General features: G+C 37.2%; 1 protein-coding gene across 2 annotated transcripts in view, besides 1 other annotated feature; it reads left to right on the plus strand.

Moving 5' to 3' along the window:
* The window catches only part of CNTNAP2 (contactin associated protein 2), a 2,304,198-nt gene that overhangs the window by 642,264 nt on the left and 1,638,144 nt on the right, over nucleotides 1–23,790 (plus strand). For both annotated transcript variants that reach the window (NM_014141.6, XM_017011950.3), the window contains exon 2: nucleotides 15,207–15,317. In NM_014141.6, the coding sequence (NP_054860.1) occupies nucleotides 15,207–15,317 (111 nt within the window). The remainder of the gene's footprint in view (nucleotides 1–15,206; nucleotides 15,318–23,790) is intronic.
* Nucleotides 22,359–22,559: a silencer, noted in NCBI's record as "peak6825 fragment used in MPRA reporter construct". NCBI's record gives its function as "represses an SCP1 promoter by STARR-seq MPRAs in K562 erythroleukemia cells {active_cell/tissue: K562}" and the evidence as "EXISTENCE:reporter gene assay evidence [ECO:0000049][PMID:32103011]".

Genomic DNA, 23,790 nt, shown 5'->3' on the forward strand with positions numbered 1-23,790 from the left:
TTTCTTTTGGATTGGTATAGTTTTTTTATTTTTCATAAAATCTGTCTGAAAACAATTTTATTTAGAAATTAAACATTATCAATACTATATGTCAAGGCAAGCAACTTTCTTTGGAATATAATATATCCTAGAAATCAATGCAACATATTTTTACGTTTAGATTACCCCCAGATGCCCAGAGCATTTCTTTACTGGTGAAATACAGAATTCTTGGACTTGACACTGAGAGGAAGTGTCAGCAGTGATCTAAAAAGTATTTCTTCTTAAAATAAGGGAAATGTGTGTGCTTAAAGACAGAGACATTAGAAAGGGGAGGATGAACAGATTATATTTTTTAAAAAATGGTTAGGCCGGGCACGGTGGCTCACGCCTGTAATCCCAACACTTTGGGAGGCCGAGATGGGCAGATCGCCAGGTCAGAGATCAAGACCATCCTGGCCAACATGGTGAAACCCCATCTCTACTAAAAATACAAAAAAAATTAGCTAGGTGTGGTGGCACATGCCTGTAATCCCAGCTACTCAGGAGGCCGAGGCAGGAGAATAGCTTGAACCTGGGAGTCAGAGGAGCTGAGATCACGCCACAGCACTCCATCCTGGCAACACAGTGAGACTGTCAAAAAAAAAAAAAAAAAAAAAAAAAAAAAAGGTGGGTGGGGTGGGGTGGGGTGTGAGAGCAAGGTCCCTCAGAAGTTATAAATGGATGGGCATTAGTGCATAGCTATCTTTATTTTCCAGGTTACCCCTTATGGAAAAAGGTTCGCAGTTACCATAACACCAATTAATAAAGCCATATTTGCTGGAAAAATCTTATTCAACAGCAAAGTATCACAGTAAGAGAAAGGACGTTTAGTAATTTAATATATAAAAATAAACCTTCGGTAGTTTTGCCTGAAAGAAGGCCAGTAAGTATCTTAAACATCTTAGGGAGCTTTTACAAGTGCTGTAGCCCTTGCTTTCTGTTTTCTAGTTAAGCAAACTTTATTGCTTTCACCAATGAGTTACAGAATCTATGACTGGTAATTTTAGTCAAAAACATGAGTTCAATTAGATGTGAAGATACAATCTTGGCATATGTTCTTAAATGAGCCAAACCTCCTATTTTAATAAATAAGGTAAATGAGCCCAAATCCATATTTTATGGCCATTGCTCAGTGAATGACTACACACACTATTCAGTCACCCACATAAGAAATCAGTAATTTTTGTCATTCTTCTTCCTATTACTTCTCACATCTGGTTGAAAAACAAATTCAGTCACCTTCTAAAATATCTTTCACCACTTTCTTCTCTTGTCATTCCACTGCCACTGCCTTCATTCACCTCTGTATCATCTCCAATTTACCTTTTTTTTTTTTTTTTTTTTTTTTTTTTTTTTTGAGACAGGGTCTGGCTCTGTTGCCCAAGCTGGAATGCAGTGGCATAATCTCGACTCATTACAACATCTGCCTCCTGGGTTCAAGCCATCCTCCCACCTTAGCCTCCTAAGTAGCTGGCACTACAGGCACACACCATCACGCCTGGCTAATTTTTGTATTTTTTGTAGAGATGGGTTTTCACCATGATGCCCAGGCTGGTCTCAAACTCCTGAGCTCAAGCTATCTGCCTGACTTGTCCTCCCAAAGTGCTGTGATTACAGGTGTGAGCCACCACACCTGGAGACTACTAATTTATACTGGTGTATAATAGTGTCCAAGTTTCTAGAACATTCGTCCAATAATGGCTGTACCACCCAGATATCAATGTTTTGTTTCTTCTAAAATATAGATATAACCATATCATATAACTACACTCAATGAAGGAGCCGTTTCAGTGGTTTCTCAAGGCCTACAGAATATAATTCACATTTACTGCATGACATTTACTAACCTGTGAAGTCTTGAATCAAAGATACCTAGATTCAAACATAATAGGTATCCAATACAGATTTGTTGATAGAAAAATGAGAGTATGCCAAACAGGGTCAAATGAATAAGATTATTCAGTTTGCCCTCGGCATTCCTTTTTGCTCATCTGTTCTGTAGATTCAATGATCGCCACCTTCCATACATCCACTGTGCATTCATTCTGACACTGGTCACTGTCCCATATGCCAAGAATACAGAAGCAAACAACACAACCCTTACGTCCACCCTAATAGGGTTAATAACTCATAGTAGAGTCAGATATTAAACAAGTTAATACGCAGATGAATGCAGAATTACTAATTGTCATAATTGCTGGAAGGAAGGAAGGAAGGAAGGAAGGAAGGAAGGAAGGAAGGAAGGAAGGAAAATAGGAAAGTGTGTTCCCTGAAAAGAGAGGGAAGCAGACTAAATTTAGTGTAAGTGATGGTGAACTCAGGGAAGCACTTGCCTCCTGAGATTTGATGTAGGACATGATCATTTATCCAAGAGAAAATGTGAAGAAGAGCACTTTAGGCAGCGAGAACAAGTGTGTTTGTTCTGTTGTTGTTGCTGTTTTTAAGTTTGTTTGTTTTTGTCTCTTTCTTGAAGATGCTATACATTCCCATATTTACACTTTATTGTGATATTGACTCTGTTGCCTGGAGTGCTCTTCTCTGTCATTTTATGTGTAGTGAAATTGTTCTTATCATACCATCTTTTTTTTTAAATATTAAAACTGTCCTTACCCCTTCAGGCAGAACTTACCTTGCCTCCTCCCTTTGTTCACTCCTTTCAATTGCGATTATCCCATTGCTTATAGCTAACTGGGTAATTTATTTTTCTCTAGAAGACAAGCCTTCTAGAAGGGGATACAACTTCTTTATTCAATGGTAGGTCCTCCGTGTTATTGAAGACATGAGGAGAAATGAATTCAGATTACTGGGAGACAAAGGGGAATATTTTTCAAATCGCCACTTCAAAGGATAGTATGCGACTCAAAATCTAAATATATTTAAGAAAGATATAGTTAATTAATGCCAGATTAACAGAAATTAAAATAAATGAATATTATTTTAACATAGATCCTTACATTGTTTAAGATAAATTCATACCCAGGGGACTAAATATTCTCCAACTTATTTTCCTTGTTCATTAGAGACAAAAAGTTGATTTGGATTACTTAGAATTAAAACCTGTTGTGAGAGCCCTTATATAGAAATTTTAATAGAATCATGTCTAGATAGAAAATAACACAGTTTACATTAAACGTCTACTTTCATTACAGCATACTTGGCAAAATATCACATTTTGTCTTGTTGTGGGCTTCCATTCTTTGAATGTTACTGAAGCCCAGTTCCTAAGAATCCCTGGCCAGGTGTGGTGGCTCACACCTGTAATCCCAGCACTTTGGGAGGCCGAGGCGGGAGGATGACAAAGTCAAGAGTTTGAGACCAGCCTGGCCAACATGGTGAAACCCTGTCTCTACTAAGAATACAAAAATTAGCCGGACGTGGTGGCACATGACTGTAATCCCAGCTACTTGGGAGGCTGAGGCAGGAGAATTGCTTGAACCCAGGAAACAGAGGTTGCAGTGAGCTGAGATCGTGCCAGTACACTCCAGCCTGAGTGACAGAACAAGACTCCATCTAGGGAAAACAAAAAACAAACAAAAAAAGAATCCCTGTAGTAGTCTGTTCTCACACTGCTAACAGAGACATGCCTGTGCCTGGGTAACTCATAAAGCAAAAAGATTTAATGGGCTCACAGTTCCACGTGGCTGGGGAGGCCTCATAATCATGGTGGAAGGCAGAGGAGGAGCAAAGTCATGTCTTACATGGTGGCAGGCAAGGTAGCATGTACAGGGGAACTCCCCTTTATAAAACCTGCAGATTTCATGAGACTTATTTACTATCATAAGAACAGCACAGGAAAGACCTGCCCCCATGATTCAATTACCTCCAACTGGGTCCCTCCCATGACATGTGGGAATTATGGGAGCTACAATTCAGATGCGATTTGGGTGGGGACACTGCTAAACCATATCAATCCCCTACAAAGCCCACAACATGTGGGAATTATGGGAGCTACAATTCAGATGCGATTTGGGTTGGGACACTGCTAAACCATATCGATCCCCTACAAAGCCCAGCAAAGTTGGCTTCCATCCCAGTCTTCTGCAGTCTCTCTGGCCACTTTCCGTCCTGTTTACCTCATGCTTCTGCTCCATCCTCACTGGCCTCCTAGGACCTCTGAACATACCCACCTTGTTCCTGCTCCGAGCCTTTTGACTGGGGTTTGTTGTGCTAGAATTACTACTCCACAGATATCAGATAACCCTATGGCTTGTTCTCTCTTTTCCATTAAGTTCTGCTAAAAATGATACCTTATCAGTAAGGCCTTCTGAAACCTCTAATTTCAAGGATGCTTATCCATTCACCCATACTCCTCATCTTCCTGTCATGCCCTATTTTCCCTATAATTAACACCATCTGAAATACTGTGTATTTTTTTTATTATTTACTATAATATGAAACTCTAGGTTGTTCACTGTTGTCCCCCAACTGTAGGCACTCTATAAATTGTCATTGAAGGAAATGCATATTAACTTTGCACTCAGCGTCACTGGGTAGTTAATACTATTTTTCAAATGTTATAAAATCAATATATGTTAATTGAAGAACATTTCCAAGCTGTAGAAAATAGAAGAAAATGAAAGTCAACAATTATCTAGCAATCAGTACAGTACCATGATTGACATTTTGGTTTACATATTCTTTCAGTCATTTCTTTACCTATAAATATCTATTTCATAAAATGAAGATCATATTATAAATACTGTTTTATAGACTACTTTTTTAGCCTATCATGCCATAAACATTTGTCAATTGATTAAGGATTTTTCTACAGCTTCACCCTTACTGGCTCTATAGCGCTCCATTTTTCACTCTGTACCTCTTGATTGCATGGCCTAATCTGAAGTTACTTAAGCCAAGTACACTGGGAAAATGCTTACCTACAGCACTTAGTTATTTAAAGCTAAGTGGGTTAAGTAGTCTAGGAAATAGACTTGGTTTTCAGTAAGTACATTGCTTATTGCTAAATGCTAACTTTCAGTTAACCAGTTAATGAAACCAGAGGGTCAAAAATTGCAACATTTACCAGTGGACCAATAAATTACAATTCAAATGAGCCCAGCCCTTAGGAAGATTGTCAATCAAAGCTTTAAGAGTACTCAAGTTCATTTAGTCATATTGTGATTGACCTTGACGGTCTTCAGATTATTGGTTTATTAAAAGTTCTAGGTAGCTCGACCTTCTTACGAGACTGTAGAATTTGAGTTAAAAAAAGAAAAGTCTACTGTCACCACTGTGTTAGAGATTAAAACCTCTGCCTAGCTCCTGGGTGGTGATTCAGTTTTTGAATACTATTTCCTTTTGTTGCATGAAGTTATAAAATTAAAACTTCAATTTGTTTTCCAGATTACAGCTAGGGTAAAAATTGTTTTTTATTATTTTGTGTTGTAGAGTTTTTTTTTTTCTTTTAAATTAGAAGATCAAGTTCGAGGAGTCAAAAGCTTAATTTAAAAAAAAAGCCTCACAAATCTATTTCATTTCTAGTACATTACAGTTCAGTAGATAATTTGAAACTGATTCATCTGTTATACCATCTGTTGGAAATATGCTACAGCTGTTAAATGTCCAGCAAAATTTGAACTACTTCTCGAAGTAATTTGCCCTTGGTACATGCAGACCAGACAATTTTTTATTTGATTTACAACCAAGATTTCTCCAAACATGACCGATTTTCTAGCTATACTACTTTTATTTCATTATTATTTTTAAACATAGCTATTAGACAAACCAAAATAGAAAATGAAAGAAATCTGAACTAATTTTTAAGATTAAAAATAATGAATTTATTCATTGCCATAAGCTATTAAAATTGCATTGATTGTGTTCAATATTTTTCAAAATATATGAAGACTTCCTATGGTGTGCCCTACATTCTGCATATTGGGAAAGAAAAGAAGTTCCCTTCCTCAGAAGAGGATTATTGGCAGAGAAATCAACATATAAACCAATATTGATCATAATAGATTTTCAATGATACAGAATGAAAATATTATATTAGGAACACCAAAGTCTTATGTTCTTTTTAAGACTAAAAGTAGATGTAAAAGAGCTAACTGACAGTAGTCAATAGTTTCAAGTCTCAAAAAACTCATTTGCTGGAGCCAAGATATTTAAAAAGTCCTAAAGTCATGTACTGTACTGATGAGTTAGACAAACCCTCTATATAATTCAGGGGTTCCAAATTACAAGTCATTTTAAGTTGTTGAAGATCAGAGATGATATTTCTTATGTGGGATACAGTGAAGTAGATCTATGTGTAAGATCATGGGATGAAGCCATTTCTCTTTTGCAATGCAGATTTTAAAATGGAAAATACAAAAATACATCTTAGAAGCTAAACAGATGAAGTGAATACATCTCAATAGTCAAAACTAGGAAGCACTTTGCCTTGCTTGCTTTTAGATGGATTTATTTCTTATCATTGTCAGTAATTCATTGATTCAACAGCTCTCTGCAAGGTTGTGTTATGCTGCATGACAGATTTTGAGGCTCTGGGAATAGAGAGTGGACACATCAGGCACCTGCCTTCCTCTCATGGTATTTACAGTCCATTCAACAAGAAAAGTAATAAAGAAATTAAAAACAAACCAGATAATTTCAGATTGTGGTGAGTGCTGTGAAACAAAACAAGACAGTGTGATAGAATAGTAAGCAATGTCTCAATGAAGACAGAAATTGAGTTGGTTAATTTAGATGAACTGATCAGAAAAAGTGAAGGTAGTATTTGCGTCAGAATCAGAGTGGAAAGGAACCAGCTCTTTTAAACCTGGTAGAGAGAATTTTAGCTGGACAGCGGAGAGGATGGAAAGGCCTTTGAGCAAGGGTGTGCTTGGTGTGTATGAGAGAGAGAGGAGAGTGAATCTAGAGCTTAGTGACCCAGAGAAGGAGTGAAATAAAATAGCGCCAGAGATATCTTCAGGGCCAGACCATCTTGGGCCCAGTGGAGCTTCGATTTTATACTAAATAAGAGGGGAAGCCATCAGGAAGCCTTCAGGGCATGGCAAAATCTGATGCCCAGTTTTAAAAAATCCATCTGGCAACTGTGAAGAAAATGGATTGTAAGGAGATAAAGATCGAAGCAGGAAATAAGTGCCCAATAAATATTTATTGAATGAATAAATGAAATAAAGTTGATGTCTTTTGCTGAGGCTATTCAATGTAGGCATATCCATTAAATTGCTGATTATATATGGGTTTCTCTGAGAACATCTATTTAAAACTGCAGAAACCTCTTTCAGTTAAAAGATGTGGGTCTGATTTGGCACACAAAATATTGAAATTCCTGCAATATTATTATATAGGGTAACATTTCATGTAAATTCTTAGAATCAAAATGAGAGGTGGTGAGAACAATTTGACAATTTCAATATTATTAGGTCTGTGTAGCCCAGTGCAACATATATGATTTTACCTGAAGTCACTATAGAAACCATTTGTCCCAGAAAACTAGACTTCAAAAGCACAGGCCTTAGAATCAGGTACAATTTGGCCTTTGTCCTGACTTTAATATCCTTTAGCTGTGAGATCTGAAGCCTCCTCATCTATAAAATGGTAATACTACCCATCTCAATGGGTTACTGTGATAACTCAATGAGATGACCCACTCAAAATATTTACTTGGCTATCACGTAAGTGTTCAATAAATGATTGCTATTACTATCAATTGATTCGTTGATTGTGGTTTAATGATCTCTGCCATCTGTATATTCATCAAGGTCCAAATTGGAAGGATTGAGATGGGAGGTGGGAAGGCTGCCTCATTCGGGCTCACCCCTATAACACTGGGCTTTGTCTCATTAAATGGAAAATGAAATAAAAGAGTAAATTAGGTCACCTCCATCTAGTAGGAAACAAGAGAGATATAGTAAAAAGAAAAAAGGAAGGCAGATGAATTTATTGTATTCACTTAGCAATTTTCGCTGTGTGTCAGATAAGTTATGTCCAATCAGTTGATTTCATTCCAATTCCATTATCTTTAGCTTTTTCCTAAATTAGCAATTGATGACAAACTAATTGTACTTCTCTTCATGGTCCTTCTGTTTGATAAGTTCTTTTGTGAACTTATTTGTAGACTCTATGAGAAAATAATTAATTCTCAATGCAATTTTATGACCTGTTTTAGCAATGACCTAGCACTCTAGTATTTTCTGTGCAAAGTTAGTTGCTTCTGCCATGCAGAGCCTAATATAAATAATAAAAGATCTCTAATATAAAATGAAATACATAAAATGAGGCTATATTTGTATGGGAATTTCTATGATAGATCAGTAAGTGAAAAGGTATGTTAAAGACCAGATTGTAAATGTTTTTTGTTTGTTTATTTGCGTGCATATCTAAATATCTGTTACGTTAAATGTTGCATCTGTGTATATGTACTATGAAGAGTAATAATAGCAATGACTTCTATGGATTATTAGGGTTCTTTCTTTAACTGTATTGTATGAAATTCTACAGGAGCAAGAGAAAGATGTATCTTATTTTCAATAGCAAAGAGTAGTCCAGGGAAGCTGGAGCAAGAGATACACAAAAGCAATGTATGAACCATAAAAATGGGAGGAAAATATGGTATAAGTGAAGATATATAAGCTAGATTGAGTAGTAGTCAATGAGTTCTTTGCCCTAAGAAGGAGCATACATTTTTATAGCATACTTCTATAACTCTGAATGTTTAACCATTTATTTTATGTTGTTATGATTTAAAAATCTAGAACGACTGGGTCAAAACAGGAAAAGGACTTTTGAAATAATGGAAAAACTAAGGAAACTGTGGGTAAGACAGGATTAAACAAGCTGCCCCAATTTATGTTGCTAGGAATAAAATCTAAATATTTTGACTCTAAGGAGCATGCTGCTACCTCTGAAAGTCACGCCTTTCACCAAAAAGTATTAATTATACAAAGTTAAGTTAAACTTGACCCTCAACTATGTCTAAAAATTATTATAAAAATTGGAAGAGAATATCATATTCTGTTTCCTGTACTTTCCACATATTATTAAAGAAAAATGTGATATGTGAAAATTAGAAAATGTAAAATATAAATTAAATTTAGACAAAATTTGGCTTGCAGACATCAGGAGTAATTTAAGAAGCTCTGGCCAAACCTCCCAACAAACTTGCCTTCTGCTTCCCATCCTGCCTTGTTCCTTATGACTAAAACTATCTTGAATTACAAGCTGAACGAAAAGCTCTTCTATGGCTTCCCAAGCAGCACAGCAGTTCCTCAAGAGGTCTTTTGTCTTCCCCCGATGTCCATTTCAGGGTCTGGTGTCCCAACTCAGTGCTCCAGGACTGCACCTTGCCTTCTGCTCCTGAGTGTCCCGATGTTGTGTGCCCCCCCACATTTCTGACCATCATTAGTTATTGCATTAACTAATGACCCTGAAATGGACATCAGGGGGTAGATAAAAGACCTCTTGGAGGAACTGCTGTGCTACTGATGATGGAAAGGAATAGTCATAACACGTGATGCAGGGTAAATGTGCAGGTATAGGTAGAGTAGCTCGAACTTCAAAAGGCAGAAGTTGAATGTACACGTAAGACCACAGAGTGATGTGTTCAACTCAGAATGTGCCTTTTGCCATGGAATTTTTCCTAATATAAAAGTGAGGATGTTATTGCTAGAATTTCTGTTCAGCTAGCACTGTCTCATTCTTGAGTCATTTGTTGTTTTTAGTTGTTTTCCTCCATTAGGCTTATGTTACCAAATGGGTCATATAAAACATCTATTTGAAGTGTTATAGTTTAAACATATATTGTTTTGTGAAACATTTTCAGACATTATATTTCAGCAGAGATGCATTTGAAAACCATACTTTTGTGTCAATTACGTATATTCTGAAGTCCTTTAATCTTGTAAACTCCTGCCAGTATCCCTTGCCAATAGCCAAACCTCTCAGCCGTATCTTTTAGGTAAAGGGCAACAGCTATTTCATGTCTATTTGCCAATAATTTCCTCTGCTCCAGCTTGAGTTAGTACAGGATTCATATAGCTAGTCTGCCTTCATGATTGACTGAAATTGTGTGAAAATAAAACTCAAGGCCCATCTGCTTTTCTAATTTTCATCCAAGATTCCCTGGAAGGGAAGTACGCTGGAGACCAAATATTTGCCATTGCTGTGTATGGCTGTAGTTTTGGAAGACATCCCAGTATGGGAAAACACAATACTGGATTATTTCAAATGTTAGTTCTCTTTTTCTTTCGCTCCTTCCCTCCTTTACTATTATATAAAAATTCTAAATTTCTCCAGGGATTTGACTGATTTCCTAGTATTTAATGTCTGCAGGAGATTGAGATACATGTTTTAGTACAACAAAAAAGCAGACTTTTTAGAATGCATAATGAGTGATAACCATTATTACAGTTGGAAATAAAAATGGATAGTATATTGTAATAGTCAGTATGGCAATATGTGCTTGCATGGAGTGCTGCTACAACCATCTCTGGGAAATTTCAAATTCATTGTGGGCTCTTTCATGTTGCTTGAGGTGTTCCCTCTTTCTAAAATTTCCTTTCTACCTATCTGTAGTCTCTAATTTCTTCAGATTCTATTCATTAATTATATGGCATCTGACACTCTAATCATTAATCATTCTGATTCCTAAGTTCCTTCATATTTGTTATACTGGATAAGAGGTTTGGAAACTCACTCTGTAAAAGCTCAGATAGTAAATAGTTTAGTTTCGTGGGCCATATGATATCCATTGCAATATTCTACTGCTGTGTGAAAGCCATCAGAGACAATACATAAATGCATGATGTGTAACTGTGCTCCAATAAAACTTTACTTACAAAAGCAATCTGTGGGCTGGGTTGGGCCTGCAGGCCATAGTTTTCTAACTCTTGGTGGTTAACACTATTTTGGGGTTTTCAGAGCTTGAGAGAAACTTAAACTTCCTCATATTACTTGTGTATCACCTGTAGGAAAGGGGTTCATTGACATATTCAGGGTCACACGTTTATGATGGAGCCAGGTCTAATGAGCAACTCAACTAACAACAACCCTACATTTCTAATTTATTTGTGGCTTTTTGTATTTGATTTTATTCTATTTAGCATTGAATTTTAAACCATTTTTATTACTCTTTTGTTGCTTCATGTTTAATTACTTTTTGTGGATTCATTTATTACTGCCACTTATGGAGGAATATGCCATATCTTTGTATGTATGTGTGTGTGTGCATATATACAAATGGAATGTAGCGAAATGGAATTATATATATATATGTGTGTGTATACACACACACACACACACACACACACACACACATATACATATAATCTGCCTGAAGTAGTGAAAACAGCAAAATGCAGTGTAAGATCTCAATAAATAATCGTGATTAATGTCCTCCAGGGAAAAATATAGTAATTGTTGCATTTTTTAGCTTATAATATGATTATAGATTATGTTTTAATTTGGAAGAATGTGAGATTGCTGGTGCTTTACATTCTGATAATAATTTTGCAGTCACCTTTAAAAAAAATTGCTTATTGGCCCTGATCTTTACTAAGCTCAATTTAATTCTAATTATTGTTATTCTGAATAATTATATAATTTTTTCAAATTATTACTTTAATTTTTAAATTTTTAAAAATTGATTTGATTTTTTAAATTAGTAAAAAATGTAAAATTTGGTACTCAGATGATGAATTAGTTACAGAAGCCAATTTGTTTAATGTAATAACTCTAAACTATATTATGGTTTTATAAATGCTACATATAAATTCTAAATTTAAATTAGCTATTGGATCATTTAATCAGTTATCAACTTAGTTTAATTACATTCAACGCAACCATATCTATCCATTGGATATTCACTCTTAGAAAATGTGTCATGCATTATTATCAAGTATGAGCTAGCCTGATTGAGCAGGTATGGACTAGAAAAATTTCTCCTAGCATGATCCTGCAGATTTATAACGTGGCTTTCTTCCTCATTTTCTTCATATTTCTACTCAAATGCTACCTGATCATTTTGTCAAAACTTTCCTTGAGAAGGCAGCATAAAATAGCAATTCTCTTCCTCTCCACCTCACCCCCAAACTCCCTGCCCACTGTTTCATATTTAATGTTCCTTCTTAGTATTAATTACCATAGCATACTATAAATTTACATTTTTTCGTTGGCATGTTTCTTCCCACAAAAACATAAGCTCTACAAGGGCAGGGCATTGTTAATTTCACCTTCAGCTGCACTTCAGTGCTTGGCAGTTGATGCATATTTAAATGAATGAAATGAACATGAGTGAATGTTAGCACATTTCTAATATAACGGGAACATTAGAAGGAATGTTTACTCCAATTAAAGGCAACACTTATCTCAAAAATTATAAAAAGTTATAATCAAATGTATCAGAAAGTAGGAAAATCAAGGATGTATGTTTGTGCTCACAGCTAAACAGAAGTAGATGTTTTCGATTAATATGAAACCCATTACTTTAGATGATAGCTTTGTGAATTGATACTTTTAAAACAAATTTTAAGTTCTTTTCATTCTTTTACATTTAACTTTCTGGGGAACTTATTTATACACACATGCCATATTTCACAGAGGCACGCAGTATAACTAAGAAAAATAAGCAATTTTACAAATATTATATGAAGACGGATTTGTTGATTTTAATTTCCAATTTGTATACAATTGAGTGGTGAGATAATAAATAATAATTCATTTCTCCAGTATCATTGGGGACTTAAGTGAATTTACAAGAAAATTAGTTTATTCTTTCTGTTGCTAAAATATTTTTTGCTTATAAATTTGAGAGAGAAACATTTTTGAATATATAGAGAAACATTTTCTGTTTTATTAAACAGAGTTCTGAGCATAAACATTTGTGGGGAATTTAAGACCACTACTCTAAAAATTAAGTGTTGTGGCATGTTATAATATGAGATCTTGCTTCCAGACTCTTTGAGGTTCATTGGGTTTAGTACATTCATTCATTTATCCTACAAATGTTTTTAGAGTACGTGCCAAGTACCATTGTTCAGATCACTGGAGAGTAAGCATTAGGCCAACTAAAACTTCATTTCAGATAGAGCTTTCTATCTAGTGGGAGAGAAAGACAACAAAACAATTAAATGAGTAACAACATAACATATATGTATTATGACAGAAAATCAAGCAGGATGTGGATACAGAGACTGATGGCAACAAAATGCTGGGTGAACTAGCAAACCCTGTCCTCAGTGGCAAAGGTCACATTGAGCAGAGACCTGTGACAAGAGAGGATACTTGGAGTAGTAGTTGCAAAGGCTTACAGCAGGGGTAGGATTGTTTTTAAAGGAAGAGGAGGGGCCAGGTGCGGTGGCTCACACCTTTAATCCCAGCACTTTGGGAGGCCGAGGCGAGCAGATCACGAGGTCAGGAGATCTAGACCATCCTGGCTAACATGGTGAAACCCCGTCTCTACTGAAAATACAAAAAAAAAAAAAAAAAATAGCTGTACTTGGTGGCACACGCCTGTAATCCCAGCTACTCAGGAGGCTGAGGCAGGTGAATCGCTTGAACCCGGGAGACAGAGGTTGCAGTGAGCCGAGCTGGCGCCACTGCACTCCAGCCTGGGCAACAGAGTGACACTCGGTCTCAAATAAAAATAAAAAAGAAAAAAGAGGAAAGGGGCCATGGTGGCTAGACAGGAATAGACAAGAACATGGGGAAAGAGATAAGACTAGTGTTGTGGCCATCATAGGCCACTGGGTGGCGGGGTAGCAGGGGTTGGGCAGGGGTACTTTGAACAGTAGGCCAAGTTGAGAGCAGGAGCCAGAGAGCATTTTGAGTACAGCAGCCACAAGTTCACTTACAGTTTGAAAAGTGTTTCTTCAGCTGCTGCCGGCAAAACTATAGCAGAGTGAGAGGGGAAGCAGGGAGACCACACAGTCTTTTGTAACAGTGATCTCTGGAAGCTGTATGTGCCCTATCTGTAGCTATGGAGTTGAAGTGAGGCAGTAGGATTTGGAACATCCCAGTATCAGAAGACTTAGCCCTCCATGCCATTTCCCAGAGACCCAGAGAGGGACGGTAGACTCAGAACAGTCCTGGCCACGTTAACATTAGAAGCACTTAGGCGTTGGCAAAATGAGAAAGATCCATCAAAGGAATCAGAGAGCAAGCAGCTAATGAGAAAAAAGAGAAAAAAAAATCTTAATGACATTATAAAAGCCAAGTGCAGAAAGTGTTACAAATAGAATTGAGGTATTGCCTGGTTTCAGTGCAGTTGATTGGTTGAGCATGATGGGAACTGATTAATTTTTCTGTCAGTAATAATTTTCAAGTTGATGGTTATTCTGTCTTTACTTGCTGATGTCTAGTTCTTTCTTTCTTTGATTTTTGAGACGGAGTTTTGCTGTTGTTGCCCAGGCTGGAGTGCAGTGGCACGATCTTGGCTCACCGCAACCTCTGCCTGCCAGGTTCAAGCAATTCTCCTGCCTCAGCCTCCCGAATACCTGGGATCACAGGCATGCACCACCATGACCGGTTAATTTATCATTTTTAGTAGAGATGGGGTTTCTCCTGTTGGTCAGGCTGGTCTTGAACTCCCGACCTCAGGTGATCAACCCGCCTTGGCCTCCCAAAGTGCTGGGATTACAGGCATGAGTCACCACTCCCAGCCTCTTTTTTCTATTCTAGTGAGAACATGTAACATGAGATCTGCCTTGATAAGTGTGCAATATCATCTAGAGGTATAATATTTCACACCAGATCTCCAGAACTTAGTCATCTCACATAACTGAAATTTTATACGTGTTGGTTAGCAACTCCCCATTTCTTGGTCTTTTGGCTTTGGTAGGAGTCCTCTTTGTCTTTCCTCCTCCAACATTAGTAATTCTAGTTCCCTGTTCCTATAATGTATAAATACCTGAAGATTTCCAGGAGATGCCAGATACCAAAGCTTATTACAGGAACAAGCTCAATTTTACTCATGATTCTCAGATAGCAAGACTGAGGTGAAGTCCTTTGGAGTAATGTGCTTTGCTATGGTTTTCCATTTGAATATCAGGGTTATATAAACAGCTCCTGTGTTATATTATATTTAGGATAACAGAATTGCCTAAATTCCTTTGCTAAATATTGTTTCAAAGATACATAAAAGACATATCAGATTCAATGATTTTTTAACCAACACATACCAATCGTTATTTCGAAATCGTTGTTGAGTGTCTCTCTCCCTCTCTGTCTTTTGTTTTCAGAAAAATGTGATGAGCCACTTGTCTCTGGACTCCCCCATGTGGCTTTCAGCAGCTCCTCCTCCATCTCTGGTAGCTATTCTCCCGGCTATGCCAAGATAAACAAGAGAGGAGGTAAGCCAAATTTTGATTCTTTTATCAATAAACATGTTAAATAAGAACATGTTATATTTATAGCCATATATATATATAATCACACAACAGATGTTGGCAGACACCAGAAATCACTCCTGCCACTTCTATTAAAAGATCCATAGATGCCATTAACCTCTCATGTAATCTCCACATTGAAATAACATAGGAAAACTTAGGCTGGAAGTTAGAGATAGTACGTCAAAAAGGAAGACATTTTGAAGTTGCCTGGGATAATAAAGTCAAAATGGCATAAACGTTTAGAGTTAAAATTCCTATTAATCAGAAAATCATTTAGAAAGATGTAAAAAAGAATTGACTCCCAAAATGCGTACGGTGTATTAAAAAAAGCACTTTGTATTTACTGTATATTAATGTAAAAAGTTAGTTCCTATTGAAAATGCAAATGCCCCTTGTAATTTTTCCTCCGGTACCCAGAATGTAGCTCTATTATAAAATCTGTGTAAAAAATCGTTAGATGTGTGCAACTACAATGTGAGTTCTTGACCTTAAATCATGGTATTTGTTAGTAACTGGCAGTTTCAAATTTTCTAGCAATTCACTGAGAGTAAAAGAACATAATTAAGGACAGAGGCAAAAAACTCTTTTGCTTCAAAGGAACACTGGTACAAACATCAGTGAATGGCAACTTAAAAAGGAAAGAAACAATATTATCTCAGATAAATATGAATCAACAAACAGAGACCATGATGTTTAATTCAGTAAAACAGGAATGGTGGTGGTTGACAGGGGCTTCGGTGGAGAGGGAGAAAAAATTGAGATATCTGTTAAAAGGTACAAAGTTTTAGTTAGACAAGATGAATAAGTTTTGGATATCTATTGTGTAGCATGGTGACTATAGTTAATAATATGTTGCATCCTTGAAAATTGCTAAAGTAACAGCTTTTAAGTGGCCTCACCATTTATGAAAAATAACTGTGTTGTGATGGATATGTTAATTATCTTGAGTTAATTATTTCACAATACATATGTCAAAACACCATGTTGTATACTATAAATATATAAATTTTTTGTGACTGCACCTTAATACAGCTAAAGGAAAATAAGAAATGTGAAATCATAAAACAATCTAGAATCAACCAATTCTATAAATAAAAAAATGAAAGGGAATGAATATAGGAGGAAGTAAGAAAGGGAAGAAGGGAGGGAAGGAGAAAGGGAGGGAGGGAGAGAGGAAGGAAGAAAGGAAGGAAGGAAGGAAGGAAACAAAGATGAAAAAAGAAAGCAGGAGGAAACCCAAAAGAAGAACAAGAAGAAGAAAATAAAGAGAGGGAGAAAAAATATTGTATCAGAAAAGAAAGGCATATCAGATTTAGAAAGACCAAAAAAGAGAAGAAAATAGATAGGAAAAAGCTAGCCTAGTGTATACAGAATAATATATAAGGTATTCACAGATCTATGAAGAGGTCTCAGTCAGTAAAAAGACTTGGTGAAAGAGTGATACACAAGCAAAGGTAGAGGAACATAACAAAAATGCAGTTTTAATGTAATATTAGTATAAATTAGCTCATTTTTATAACCTGATATTCATCAGGCTATGGACATGAGAGAGTTGTTGAGTTACTATAAGTTATCAAAAATTCTGCATAAAGATGTTGAAGTAATATAAATTTTAATATATTTCTCTCTCATAAAAGTCATTGAAAACAACTAAAACAATGAATATAGACAGAAAAACATGAAACAAGGGACTGGCCATACCCAAATGGTAATTATGATACAGACCTTCCCATTACTAGGAAATCTAGGACAAAATATGAAAAAGAAATACCATATAATTCTAGGTCCCAAGAGAGTGTACTGTTCCCTAAAAGAAGTGCCATAATGCCGAGAGACATAAAGCACCTGTGAGGAATGGAAGCAGAGTCAGAAAATGTTACTTTCAAAAGTTTTGAGTGAAAATACGACTGAAGAAGATGATTTGCTCAGTAAATTTGGGCAAGTCAGGTTCTGTCATGCAAACAGCACTTCAGGAATACAAATGAGACAATCTAGTCACCAATGAGAAAATTGAAAGTGCACAATAAAGAAATTGTGGCCACATGACTGGTGTTGAGCAAGGAACCCATTTCCATATAAGACCTCGACTAAACGATGTAGGAGCTATAGTTGTAGGAGAGAGTATAAATGTTATAGGCACAGAAATGTAAAAGTGTCAATTATGGGAATTAGAGAGATGTGGGTGTTTTTTCTTCCTAACCTTTCAGAGCAGCAGGTTACCAGATGCTGAAACTTTAGGTACAAATTTATTCTGCCTTTGGTTTTTTAATGGGAATTAACATCTTTTACAAGAAAAAATATATAGGTTTTTTGCTCTCATTTAATTCTAGAAAAGTTAAATTATTTTTTCTTTGTTTTAACATAATACAAGATACCACTTTACACCATTTAGAGCTGCTTATGTATTTATCTACTCATACAGAGAGAGTCAGGTATCTGATATTAAGCTTCCAAAGTGTTAATATATTTCTTAACTTGGACACTTGGATTTGAGGAGTATCTTTACTTTCCTTATAGTAGTTTTGTCTGTAGTTTGTAGAATATATATTTATATCTACCTAGATGATTGACAGGTAGGTAGGTAGGTAGATAGAGAGAAATAGAATGCATTTCCAGAAAGACAGATGTTTCAAAAGCAAAAAAACTATAAAACAAAAGTTACAGTTTCTTAACTGTGTGACCCACAGTTCATCTCTTTTTGACCATTGATATACTGGATTGTCATACATTAGGGTGAAATTATCACGTTGGGAAAGAAAGTGTTGTCTGTCCTATAGATATAGATCTACACTTCATTGTAGCCCATTTTATCATTTGTTATGTGGGGATGTGCAGCTACGTACTTTTTGGCTTCTAAAGACTGCTTTGCTTATCAGCGTTATGCTGTCCATAATGACATATAACTCGCCCTCCCCAACGCTCTCATTTTTGCTCCCTAATTTTTACGGATGGTGAGGTAACTAAGCTATATCTTCACCCTTTATGCTGCTCTGCCCCTGCAGGTACAGCAAGAAACATACATGTAGGGCTTCACCCTTGTTGGCCACGTAAATGTGGGTCAAGGGAACTAGCATGAGAAAGAAAGGTTATATCCTCTCCAAGGAAAAACAAAAAGAAAGTCATACATAGTTGTTACAATACAAAACTTTTTTTTTTTTTTTAAGACAGGGTCTTGCTCTGTTGCCTGGGCTGGAGTGCAGTGGCATGATCTCAGCTCACTACAAGCTCCACCTCCTGGGTTCAAGTGATTCTTCTGCCTCAGCCACACAAGTAGCTGGGATTACAGGAGAGTGCCCACCATGCCTGGCTGATTTTTGCATTTTTTAATAGAAATGGGGTTTTGCCATGTTGGCCAGGTTGGACAACAAAATATTTTCTTCCACTCTAAAATTTATATGCAAATGCCCTTGGGAGAAGAGCCATGTAGGGTGAAATTCTTGAAAACATATATGTGGCTAATAGCCAGCATTGAGAGAAAAGAGATTTTTTTTTTTAAGTATAGCATGATGTTATATATCTGGAAGATATAAAGAAGACAGACAATTCCAAGCAGAAAAAATATATGAACATTATAGAATCCAGGAATGTTGGAGATACATTTTCTTAATTTACAAGTGGCAAGAGTCATCTGATACAGACACTATATAAGTATCTGAAAGTGAGAAGATCATATACTAACAGAAAAATATCAGAATGTAACCTACTAATTATACAAATGCAGAAAAGAACAAATTCAGTTGAGCATTATGTTGATAAACATTGGCTTCAAGTTTTATTATTTACTTAAATGATATTCCTAAAGTACATTTTGGAGAGAAAGTTTATAAATACATAGGAAAGCACCATATAAATGCATATATTCAAATGACAGATTGTCACATATTTATGAAATTGAATTTAGTTTATGGTTCTCCACAATACAAATCCATCTGCTATAATCTTGATGTCAGGGACCAGTACATGGCAAAAGTATGGAGGAAATGAGATGTTTAAATGAAAAATCCATGCGTAATTCTGACATGTCTTTTGGAGCTCATTGTTTTTAGTTTATTGGTGCTGTTGTTTTCTTATCAACACCTTATTCCTGTGATCTGTGTTCTGATTTATCCCCACATTTTTAATCCATCGAAGGCTTCCCAGTCTTGTGTCATTCTGAGTTAGTAGCACTTAGATGTGTTACTCTTTCCAAGGTTAGCACAGATACAAAACCTTTGAAAGTTTCAAACAGCATATCCCTTACCTTACTTTTAATATAGAATTTTACAGATTATAAACTGCTTTCATCTGTGCTCTAATTGTTTCTCAATCTTCATAACAACCTGGTTAGAAAGAATGGTCAGTTAGAGATGCCAATCAATTCTTCTGCCAAACTTTCAACCTTGTACTTCATATGCCTTTTGTAGAAATCAGTCCTTTTCTTCTGCCAGAGAGACAGCCATCCACCACGTGGTCCAGGTCTCTCTCCACTACCACAGAGGCTTAGTGAGAACACCTGATCTCAACGGTTGCTATTAGAATCCCTCTGCTTTGTTACCTGACATCGTTTTGGGAACCCAGGGGACTACTGGGGAAACGATAACAGGCTATGTGTAAACTAGAGAGAAGAGGAGAGCAGGTGCTGGGGAAGAAGTGAAGACATGAGGCCAGGGTACCTGCACAGAGAAGGATGAATCAAGCTCTGGTTTCACTCACAGGCTCTTTCAGACCCCTGTTTCCAACTTGCTTAACCTCTGACTGAACTTCAGCTTGAGTCTCTCAGATGTATCATTCCAGTTCTAATGGTCACCTCCCCCTGTCTGAGCTCATTAAAGTAAGTTTTTCTTCCTAGTTACTAAAGGACTTTTGGTTTTAAAGAAAAACACAAACAAAAACTAGTTATTATCCCCGTTTTACAAATTCAAATAATACATATAGAAACCCCAAAATACATCATTAGGTTCTAAAGTAGCATAGCTAGGGAACAGTGGCACAGGGAGAGGGACACAAATCCATATCTTCTGCTGGAACCCAACACTCTTTATATGTAATTACACCAGATGAGGTAATATCAGTGCTGCCTTTTTGAATTAGCCCAATGATGGTGCCTAAAATGAGTTTGAAGATTTGAGTCAAGTTCAATTTATTTATGCTGTTATAGCCAGAGAAACCCAGTCATGCAATCTCAGTATTTCCCAACTAATGTAGATCCTGAATAATTTTCTTTCTTTTCACCTTCCTGCCACTGATTTTTACTTAGTAGATATGTCTAAGAATCTTGTTTGTTGCCTCCTCAAAGATGTTTCCTCCTATGTATTTTCCCTGAGTAATTTCTCCCATTTTAAGAATGCGTCATCTTCTCTATCACACCAGAGGGCAGAAGGTTGTGGTGGTGATGTTGTTTTCACATTAGTTTTCCTCTATTTCCTTCAGCAGGGAAAACACATTGCACTTGCGGTCACATAATTAATAATCACTTATCAAAGGAGTATGTGAATAACAGATGTTTGGAGAGACTGCTAGAATAGATCTCTTGAAGTTTCTACGTGTATCTCAAAGAGAACCACAGTCCTTACCTTTCCTTAAAAGACACCACTTTATACTAGAATGATTTATAATCCTTTGGGTGTGTACCCAGTAATGGGATTGCTGGGTCAAATGGTATTTCTGGTTCTAGATCCTTGAGGAATTACCACACTGTCTTCCACAATGGTTCAACGAATTTACACTCCTACCAACAGTGTAAAAGTGTTCCTATTTCTCCACATCCTCGCCAGCATCTGTTGTTTCCTGACTGTTTTTTTTTTGAGACGGAGTCTCTCTCTGTTGCCCAGGCTGGAGTGCAGTGGTGCGATCTCGGCTCACTGCAAGCTCTGCCTCCGAGGTTCATGCCATTCTCCCCCTTCAGCCTCCTGAGTAGCTGGGACTGCAGGCGCCCGCCACCATGCCTGGCTAATTTTTTTTTTGTATTTTTAGTGGAGACAGGGTTTCACCATGTTAGCCAGGATCGTCTCAATCTCCTGACCTTGTGATCCACCCGCCTCGGCCTCCCAAAGTCCTGGGATTACAGGCGTGAGCCACTGTGCCCGGCCGGTTTCCTGACTTTTTAATGATCACCATTCTAACTGGTGTGAAATAGAATCTCATTGTGGTTTGATTTGCATTTCTCTAATGACCAGTGATGATGAGCTTTTTTTTAACATGTTTGTTGGCCGCAATCCAACCCAAATGGCCACCAATGATGGACTGGATAAAGAAAATGTGGGACATATACACCACGGAACACTATGCAGCTATAGAAAAGAATAAGTTCATGTCCTTTGCAGGGACATGGATGAAGCTGGAAGCCATCATTCTCAGCAAACTAACACAGAAACAGAAAACCAACACTGCATGTTCTCACTTATAAATGGGAGCTGAACAATGAGAACACATGGACACAGGGACGGGAACATAACACACCGTGGCCTTTCATAGGGTGAAGGGCAAGGAGAAGGAGAGCATTAGGAGAAATACCTAGTGCATGTGGGGCTTAAAACCTAGATGACAGGGCCGGGCGCGGTGGCTCACGCCTGTAATCCCAGCACTTTGGGAGGCCGAGGCAGGTGGATCACGAGGTCAGGAGATCCAGACCATCCTGGCTAACGTGGTGAAATCCCGTCTCTACTAAAAATACAGAGAATTAGCCGGGCGTGGTGGCTGGCGCCTGTAGTCCCAGCTACTCGGGAGGCTGAGACAGGAGAATGGCCTGAACCCGGGAGGCGGAGCTTGCACTGAGCCCAGATCGCGCCACTACACTCCAGCCTGGGTGACAGAGCGAGACTCCATCTCAAAAAAAAAAAAACAAAAAAAAAACACCCTAGGTGACAGGTTGATAGGTGCAGTAAGCCACCGTGGCACATGTGTACCTATGTAACAAACCTACACATTCTGCCCATGTATTCCAGAACTTAAAAAAAAAAAATCACTAAAGCCATAGTTTCCAGTTTAATTTTTAAAAATTAACATAAAAAGACACAAAAGACACCACTGAAGTTCATAATTGCCACGATGCCTTTATACCACAGCTTGCTCAGATAATCACTGTAGGCTGGTGTCATTTTCCACTTCCTGTTGGCCAGGAGGAAGTTCTAGTGATAAGCATGACGCCAACCTCTTCCCTAGCTCACACTTACATACACATGTCCCCCTCCGGAAACGCGCTGGGCTGCCTCTTACAGGCTCCCAGGCAGTTCAGCAAACAGTAAAACCTTATTCTACTCTTGAGAAATCTATTATTCCTGCTACTCCTAGAAAGAAAATTTTTCCCTTTTTCCCACTCTCAATTCTCTTGTCTCTGAGTTGCATTTATAAAACACCTTCTTTCCCTCTGCTTTTTCTTTGCTCTCCTCTTTTTGCCTTTAAATATTAGAAGGATCTGTCACAACTAATTAAATCTAGAACTGCAGCTGATATACTATAAACTGGGAACGGAACCACAGCGCGTCCATGAGGGCATTGTCTGTCTGTGTGGCCTAGCTCCTCCTGCTGGTACTCTTCTGCTGTCTCTAGTCCGTGATGTACTCCTTTGTTACACATGGCCCACTCATGACCGCCCGAATCAGCCACAGTAGGCGGTATTCTTAACCTTAATTAGGAAGCTTTATTCTTAGAATATAACATCAAGGCTTAAATTATGAAGTAGACTCAAGTTCCCAATTGATGAGATTCTGCCCTATTTTTGCAGCTTCCATTCCAATATTTTTCCTCTTTCCCTTTGCCAGCCTCTACCATGTAGTACTTTTTAAAATTTTCTCCTTTTCTCACTCACAGGTAATTCATTATTACTTAAGTATGAAGTAATCGGTGAAGTGATACCTCTCAGGACGATTTGCCTTATAAAAGCACATCCTTGGGAGCAGAAAAATTCAAAGAACTGGTTTCCTAATGGGGCATTTCAGGATATTTGACATTCCTATTTTGGCTGGTCATACTTCTTCATCTTCAATTGGCTCTCCTGGAAACACCTGCTGATTTTGTCGGCTCTGAGGCAGTGCTGAGCAGTAAAAGGAGAGTGGCTTGTCTTCATGCCTAACTAAGTTCCAGTACTGAGCTGACCAAGGACAAGCATGGGATTAGCAAATTATTTAAATGTATTATATCTTGGTTTCCTGATTTCTATGATTACTATATCTGAACCAGGATATAATAATGATAAAGGATATAATATGGAATAATTTGTCATCTGAGTCAGGAACTTTTGACAGTGAAAGAGAGTATCATTAATAGTTACACAAGGATAATCCTGAAAGTATGGTCCCTCTACTTGTAGTTTAAAATAAAATCAGTTATACTGTTTAGCAGAGCTACCGTGAAGGTTAAAAGAAACAATTTACACAAACTATGTTGCATTGAAATATTAGTCTCTTTCCCATAAGTTACTCCCAGCTTCTAAAAACAACACTATAGATACCAACAT

Source organism: Homo sapiens, chromosome 7 (genome assembly GCF_000001405.40).
Source record: "Homo sapiens chromosome 7, GRCh38.p14 Primary Assembly".
In the NCBI taxonomy this organism is placed as follows: domain Eukaryota; kingdom Metazoa; phylum Chordata; class Mammalia; order Primates; family Hominidae; genus Homo; species Homo sapiens.